This window comes from Homo sapiens, chromosome 11, assembly GCF_000001405.40.
Source record: "Homo sapiens chromosome 11, GRCh38.p14 Primary Assembly".
In the NCBI taxonomy this organism is placed as follows: Eukaryota; Metazoa; Chordata; class Mammalia; order Primates; family Hominidae; genus Homo; species Homo sapiens.
The window spans coordinates 106,557,306-106,566,364 of NC_000011.10; positions in this window are offsets into that span (position 1 = coordinate 106,557,306).

Genomic DNA, 9,059 nt, shown 5'->3' on the forward strand with positions numbered 1-9,059 from the left:
AGCTAATGAATAGACCATTTGTCTCCTCTGTCATCTGCCTTAAGAGAAGAATGCTTGCCTCCCCAAAGATATGGTCCCCATTTAGTATATATTAAAGGTGGAGAAGAGTGTGAATGTTACTTAGTTATATTTTAAATTCAGTGTAATTCAAAAGATTGAAGTCTGTGTTTTAAATTATATAATTCCAGTAACTAAAAGGAGAGAGAAAAAAAGATTGATTGGAAATGTTCCCTTATAGAAGGTATTTCCAAATTCGTATGCAACATACAAAATCACATATAAAGACATATAAATAAGACAGGATGCATCATTATAAAATTACAAAGGTGGTACTAAACAGTTTCTTAAGAAGGACAAATATCTTCTTGGAGGAAAAATTAAGAAAACCATTTCAAAAGCATCCACAAATTTCTATTACCACATCTATTAACCTGCCTATTTCTATATCCAGATATTCTGGCTTCTTTTGTATTACTGTTAATGATCTTTCAGTGACCTAAAAAAACCTCCAGACACCCCTATTTGCATATCCCCTTCTTTCTATTCATCAACATTGACCCAGACAGTCTCCTTTTAATCTCCTGCATCGAGATTTTTCTTTTCTTTGTTTTATTCCTCCTGTGTCTTTTTCATCAGCTTACAGGCTTGCTTTTATTACCCCCATCTTAACAAAAAAACAAAACTCTTGACAATAACTTCTTTTTTTATGTACCAGTGCATTTCTCACCTTCCTCACGAGGCCAAACTCATTACTTTCTCCAATATCTGTCCAAGATCCTCTCTGGAGTTTTACTCTAATCTGGCTCTCAACCTCTACAGCTTTACCCAAACTGCTGTTATCAAGATTACAAACATCTTTGTTTTGCTAAATCTAAGTTTTTCATCCTCATCTTCCATGAACTAACAACAGTATTTCATACACTTGATCACTGATCTCTTCAAGAAAAAACAAAAGCAAACAAAAACGTCTTTTCTGAACAGAAATTACCCCACAGGCTTTTTCTTATCATTTTGGGTTAATTTTGTTTTTTCTTCTTTATCAGTTTTTCCACACCTCTGAAGCTTTTAACGTTAGAAGACTTGGTCTTTGGATCACTATTCTTCTCTTGCTATATTCTTTTTCTCAATTATCTCATTCCTTATCATAATAATATAATAGTTTGCTGTTAATGTTTCTTTTAAGTGCAGCACATTCACTTGACTTCTTGAACTATCTCTTTCATAGCACCCATAGTATATTTTATAATATAAATCATGAGACGTATAAAAATAATAAGACATTAAATTTTAGCCTCCTTTTATATTTGTTACATAGGATTATATATATAAATTTTATCTATTTGTACACATAAAAAGAGCCTGTGTCTGAACTGGTAATTCTTCCAGTTGATGTTCATTCCTGGCTTTCAGCTATTTTCTATTTGTTTTTAAGTAATTAAGACAATTATTTTAATCAGTGCAAACTGCTTCCAGGCCCTACTGCTTCTATAGCTTTTCAAAATCTACAACTTGTTTTATTTGTGTAAGGCCCAGATAAAGCATATTGCTTGCCTTCTTTTCCTGTTTCTTTCTGTTTCTATTTTGCTTTATTTAAAATGTTAGCTAAAAATACATCTTTATTATTAACATACATTTCCAAATTTATCTCTTCCTACATGATTTCTTCCTGCATTTAACTTTGCCATACTGTTAGGAAGGTGACAGCATAAATCACTTATGAAATAAGCCTTCCATGATGATGACATCCACATGGTATTTTTAAGTAGAATTTGTAAGTCTGATGGCAAATTTAAAACCTTGGCATCATAAGTGGGTTCTTCTTCCTTGGTTTTGCCAGCAATAACAGCTTAACTTTTCAGATCACTTTCTATTACCGATAAAAATATTAACCCAAACTAAACCTAAGAAAAGTGTATTGTTATGAGCCAGTGTTCACTTAGCATTCTAGAAGACAGAAATAAATAATAAACTAGTCAAATAAATAAATTTATAGAATGCTGCATTGTAATATGTGATAAGGAAAAATTAAAGCAAAGGAAACAAATGAGGATTATTTTGAGGAGGGAGGCAGTTTGAGTTAGTAAAGTCAAGGATGGCCTTAGGTGATGTAAATAGCCTAGAGAAGGCAAGGGAGAAAGCCATGTAGTGATCCGTGGAAGCAATGAACACTCAGAAGGAATAGTAAGTGTGAAGGTGCTTAACTGGCATATTTAGAGGACAGCAGGGGACTTACTTGGTTGGAGATGAGTAACTTAGAGCAGGGGTTCCCACCTCCCAGGCTTCAGACCAGTACCAGTCCATGGCCTGTTAGAAACAGGGCCACACAGTAGGAGGTGAGTAGCAGGCCAGCAAGCATTACCACCTGAGCTCAGCCTCCTATCAGATCAGCTGCAGCATTAGATTCTCTTAGGAGAGCAAACCCTATAGTGAACTGTGCATGTGAGGGATCTAGGTTGTGTGCTCCTTATGAGAATCTAATGGTAAATGTAATGTGCTTGCATCATCCTGAAATGATCCCCCCCAACCCTCCACCCATCCTCGGTTCCAAAATATCTGGGGACTTCTGAATTAGCGAATAGTAGGAGATGAGAGCACAGAATAAAATCGGTCTAGAGAAGAAGTACATTGTGTATGCTTTTCAGTACTTACTAAGAATTTAGGCTTTTTCTAACAGTCAGTATGAAATCTATTGGGAGGGTTGGAGCAGAGGAGAGATGTAATCTGATTTAGGTTTGAACAAGATCGTTGGATTTTATATTGAGAATAGAATATTGGTGGCAGATGATAAGACAAAGGAAACCAGTCAGGATGCTATTGCAATATTGCAGTGAGATATCGTGATGGTTTGAACTAAAAAGTTAGTGGTGGTGTTGGTGAGGAATGATTCTGGATATGCTGATACATTTGATATGGCGCATTAGAGAAAGGGAGGGTTCAAGGATGACTCTTGAATGACTAGAAGAATGGAGTTGTCATTTGCCAAGATAGAAAAAGAAAACAATTTTTGGTCATGTAAATTTGATCTTGAGTAGACAGAAGGTTACATGAGTCTGCAGTTAATGTGAGCAATGTAAACTTGAGAATAACCATTGTATAGTTTGCATCTAGAGCCATGATTCTGGATTAGGTTACCAAGAAAATGGGCATAAATTGGAAAGAAAAGAGGTCTAAGCACTAAGCCCTGACATATTCTTACAATAACAAGATGTGAAATAGAAGGAACCAGTTAAAGAGACTGAAAAGGAAAAGCTAGAGGATAGAAGAAAAACCAGCAAAGTGTTTCAGAAAGAAGGAGCAGATAATAACCAACTGCCTCAAACACTGCATCTAGATCAAGTACAATTATTATTTACAAGAGAATTTACCCTTGCATTTAGCACTATAGAATTCATCAGTGACCTTAATGAGAGAAGTTTTATGACGTTTTATAAGAGATTAGAATGGATTTAGGATCGAATAAGAGTAGGAAAATTGGGGAAAGCATAGACAACTTTTTCAAGAGATTTTTCTGTAGAGAGAAGGGAAGAAATGGAGCACCAGATGAAAGAAGTGATAGCAAAAGAGGATTAAAAAAAAAGATAAAAGCAGTAGCTTGTTTCTTGACTTACAAGAAAGATCCAATAGTGATGGACAAAACTAATGCTGTACTAACAAAAGAGTATTTGCTAGGGCAGTATCCTTGAGGAGAAGAAGTGTGATTTAGTGCTGAAGTGTAGGGTTACTAGGATCACTGATGTTATATCCATAGAAAGAGAAGGAGTGGCAGATTCTTGGGCAACAATATAGGCAGGGGTAAAAACGTGGTGGTGGGAATGTCTGGAAGTTCTCTCTTGACTATTTTTACTATTTTTATAGTAAAATTGGAGGGAAGGTCATCAGCTGAGCATGGCAATGGGGAAAAATGTTGGCATTTGAGAGAAGAGTGTTAAATAGCTATCTAAGAGAGAGGGAGAACAAATGAACTAGAAAAATATAGTGGGCATTTATCAAATAGGTTGTTATTTGGATTCGACTTTTGGCTTAGAAAAGTGAATACAGCAAAATAAGAAAGGGGCAAGGAAGTGGAGAATGTAAAGAAGGTGTGATTATGACTGGCCATGACATTAGATCAAAGTCTAGAGGGAAAAGAAGACTTCAGGGGGTAAGGGAAAGTGAAACATTGATAAGACAAATTTATGTTACCCAATTGTTTGAATAATTGTTGGAATTAGCTACAGGAAATGAGCTAGATAGGAAGTGGAGTTAAAAAATATGATGCTTGAAATTCAGCCAATAGAGAGGTTTTAATTATTGTTAGTTATATAGTAATAGGATGTGCCCATGGGTGGGAGTGGCTGAGTTGGGGTGAAGGAAAATGTTATTGGAAGAAAAGTGGTCAAGAAGCTGCAATTATAATAATATGAATGGTGTCCATAGATATCAGTAGGGATTCTATAAATTGCCTCTTCTCTTACGCAGTGGTTTAAATGTATGTGTCCCCACAAAATTCATATGCTGGAACTTAGGTTAATGCAACAGTATTAAGAGGTAAGGCCTTTAGGGGGTGATTAAGTCATGAGAGTAGGACCCTCATAAATGGGATTCGTGCCTGATATTATTTGGTTGTGTGTCTCCTCCAAATCTCATATTGAAATGTAATCCCCAGTATTGGAGGTGGGGCCTGGTGAGAGGTAATTGGATGGATCATGGGGCATATTCCTCATGAATGGCTTAGTACCATTCCCTTGGTGATGAGTGAGTTCATGCAAGATGTAGTTATTTCAAAGTGTGTGGTACCTCCTCTCTCTCTCTCTTGCTCCCATTCTCACCATGTGATGTGCCTGCTCCCATAATGCCTTCTGCCATGATTGTAAGCTACCTGAGTCCCTCACCAGAAACTGAGCTGATGTTGGTGCCATGCTTGTACAGTCTGCAGAACCTTGAGCCAATGAAACTTTTCTTTATAAATTACCTAGCCTCAGGTATGTCTTTATAGCAACAGAAGAATGGCCTAACAGAAGCCCTTGTAAAACAGTTTGAGGAAACTAACTTGCCAATTTCCCCTCCCATCCTTCTCCCATATGACGATACAACATTTGTCTCATTTTCCCTTTTTATCCCTTTTGCTTTTTCATCTCTTCTGCCATGAGAGGACTCAGCAAGAAGCCACACCAGACACCAAATATTGGTGCCTTGATCTTGGACTTCTCAGCCTCCAAAGCTGTGAGAAATAAATTTCTGTTGTTTATAAAGTACTCTTTAATTCCTATTTATATGTTACCACATGAAGCCCAGACTTCCCCAGTCATCCCTATTCCTTCAGACTGTAATTTCCATATAGCTCTGTATATTTATTTTTCTGACACCATCTTCCACGTTTACCCATCTTCCGAATCTTTCACTGTACTCCCTCTGTAACTTAAAGCTGTCTCTCCTCTGAGGATTATTCCCACATTGGCTTTCTCTCCCATACCTCTCTTACCTTTAAACCTGGAGGTGAAGATTCCTCATTGCCTCATCCGCATCATTTTCCTGCATTTTCTTACATCATACCAGCTTTGACTCTCATGTCATTAAACAATACCATCGACACACCTTCCTTGTTTTAGCAATCTTCTGCCCCTACATAAATCTCTCTTATTCCTTGAAGGTTGTGGCTGCATGCACCCTTCCAATCACATTGTCAAACTCTATTCCTGTCAAAATTCCTGATAACTTACATATCCTTCAATAATATGGCAAGTATTATGTTAGATTGTCATTGGTTTGAGGTGATAGAGGTGCTCTATCCCTAGAAAGTCATCAAAGAGACTAGATACCATCTTAAGACATATTTTACACAAAAAAATATGAGTTAGTAGACTGAGAGAAAGGTCAAGAGTTTTAAAAATAATGTCTATTAAAGATATATGGCAATCATTCTCAAGTGGGGACAGTTTTGCCCCCAGGAGACAATTGGCAATGTCTGGAGACATTTTTGGTTGTTGCAACTGGGGGTGGGGGTGGATGTGCTACTGGCATTTGGCGAGGAGAGGCCAAAGATGCTGCTAAACATCCCCTGCAACAAAGAATTATCCAGCCCTAAAAGTCTATAGTGCTGGTTGAGAAACCCTGGTATATGGTAATAATTGCTCTTCATTTTAGGATTTCCAATCAGGAAAATGCACTGATTTATCTGTCTTAAGCACACTAGCAGCTTTTATATAGAATAAGAATACAGTAAAAACTTTTGTAAAAAAAACCTAAAACCTATGGAGGATTACAGGATTTTTGAAATATAAAAAGATGAAGTTCACACTGTTAGAGCCTCCATGTTTTTAAAAATTTCCTCCCCCATGAGTACAGAAAGTCTAACTGGGCGTTTTATCTTAAGTTGAAATGTGGCATGGTCCATGATTTCAAGTTATCATTTTTTATTCACAGCCTAAGGAGCTTTCCTCTTAGACGCTTTACTCCTGGGCTTACATTTGGAAGAAGCATATTTTCAAACAAATAAAAAAAATCTAGCCTGGTCTTTCAAGCTGCTTTATTTAAAAGCGGATGGAAGGGGTTTGTTAGCCTCATTTATGTCCAATGGCATTACTCTGCAGAGTGATTGGCTTGAGTTCACTGCCTCTCAGTTATTTATATATGCATTTATTTTAAAAGTATTTATCGAATTCCTACTATATGCTAAACAATGTGTTAGCAATGGGGATACTCAGATAAATAGAGAAAGTCCCTGGATTCAAATTTCTTTCCATATGGTCAAGGAGAAAACCATAGAAATTATAATAATAATTCAGTAAATTGTTATTTAATGAATTAATTTAATAAATTAAGATAATAAATAATAAAAAGTAGGTAATAACACAAAGGAGTGACTTACAATTCTGTGTAGTATTGGAAAGTAATTTCAGAAATGTTACAAGATAAAATGCTACTTAAATTGAAATTTATGGGTAAAAAGAAAGAGAAATTTAACATTTGGGGTAGCCTACCATGTGTCAGACCCTCTACAAAGCACTTTATGAGCTTTTCTCTTTTAATCTTCACAATAACCTTGTATGATACAGTTATTATCCACATTTTGCATTTGGGAAAACAGAAGCTTCAATAAGTCAGTCAAGGTTACCATGGAAAGAAGTGGTAGAACTGAGATCTGGGTCTACGTCTAACTCCCAATAGATATGTATGTTCTTTTCAATAAGCCAAAAGGAGGAGACAGGTTTAAATACTGAGGATGCAATTTACTCACATTTACCAAGTATACCAGAGTTTTATTTCTCATTTAACCCACCTCACCTAAAACTAAAACTCCCAGAACATCTGATTCCCTCCCTATTGCCATACCTGCCCTGACCCACAGTGAACCTATCAATAGGTAGGGCTGAGTCAGTGAGATCATTTTTCAAGAATATGAACAAAAATATTGTACTCAAAAAGATATTATGCCTATGGCGATGGCTTGCTGCTCTGCTAAGTCACTTCATGCTGGGGCTGAAGTAGACTAGAAAGAAAAATATTGAGTCAATGTTGTATAGAGGCAACATGCTGTAGGATCAGAAACCATAAGTAAGCAGAGAAAGCTGTCAGGGGAAGAAGAGAGGGAAGCAGAAAGAAATGTCTGGAAAAGACACTGAGACAGCAGCAGGTATAGCTCTTGAAGGAAGCTTTCTGTTTCCTGTTAGGCCTGGCATCTTACAATATTACCGCTCTCCTCACCACCATCATGCTTACAACCCTTTAACTGGAGCTCAAAGTTGGTTAGATTGCTTTTAATGAAAAGAAAAATTTGAACTGGAATAATACTAGTAAAAATACAGAGCTATGAGACAATAAGGAAGAAGTACCTTAGAATCACGGGAGCACAGTGGACACCTGGTATCCACTAATGAACTGGAAGAGAAAGGAGGAAGGAGGGCAGACTGAGAATGCAAAGTGCCTTTTCTGTTGGGCCAAGGATTTGGATCTTATTCTAAAAGCTTTGAGGAGGCTTTAAATGCTTTAAAGCAGCTCTTGAAACTAGACTGGTTTATTTATCTCTGTATCAACAGCACCTGGCTGAGTTATACTAAGTTTATGTTTGATAAATATGTATTATATCAATGAAAAAAATAAGTGAGGAAAATAAAAATAACCATGGAGTTCAGTTCTACATCACAATTATAGTAAGTGAAACCGTAACTGATAAGAAAGCCAGTTATAAGGAGCTTCGAGGATCAGGTATTAGAGGACACCTGCTAGTAAGCCAACAACAGAATGTGGAACTCCAGCCATGAGGTGGAACCATGAGGTGGGGGTGAGTGATGAGTAGTGTGATACAACTTTAAAGAACAAGGAAGTGTTGACAAAGGGTGAGGTAGAAGAGATCAGCATGGATGTCTTTAAGAAAGACCTGGTATGATCTGCTAACAATCTTAACATTAATGTTCTATAGTTTATAAGCAACTATTAAGGATTTTCCATATAGGAATTAATTTATTAACTCCCTACAACCTATAGTTATTGAGAAACAATTACATTCCAAATATTATTCTTCATGCAGTGAATACCTTGGTGAAAAAGATGGTAAAAAAGTTTATTGTGGAATTTACATTATATTGGGAGCAGACTCATGAGAAAATACATTTTTTTATTTATTATTTAAGCATAATAAATAAGAAAATGTATTCAACTTGTTAGAGGTAATGCGTGCTATGGAAAAGAAATTAAGCTTGATTGTGTGCTAAAATCTTAACAGAGTGGTTGGTGTAGACATCACTGAGAAGGTGATGTTTGAGCAGAGATTTGAAAGAGATGAGGAAGTGAACCTGGCAAGTACCTACTGGAAGAACACTCCAGAAATGAATTTTCTCCAGTCACCACAAATGGCCTAAGACAAGAGAACATCTAGCAAGCCAAGGAAATCCAGGGGAGCTGTAAGGACAGAGCAGAAGGGGTGAGATGAAGAGAAGGAGATAAGATCAGAGAAGGAATGCAAGGCAAGATCCTGTAAGACTTTATAGCCAGACATATATTTTAAGGTGAGTATTCTGTCAGCTATGCAGAAGATAAATGTTAGAGGAATAAATTACTTGGTATAATTTTGGTTCTAAGCA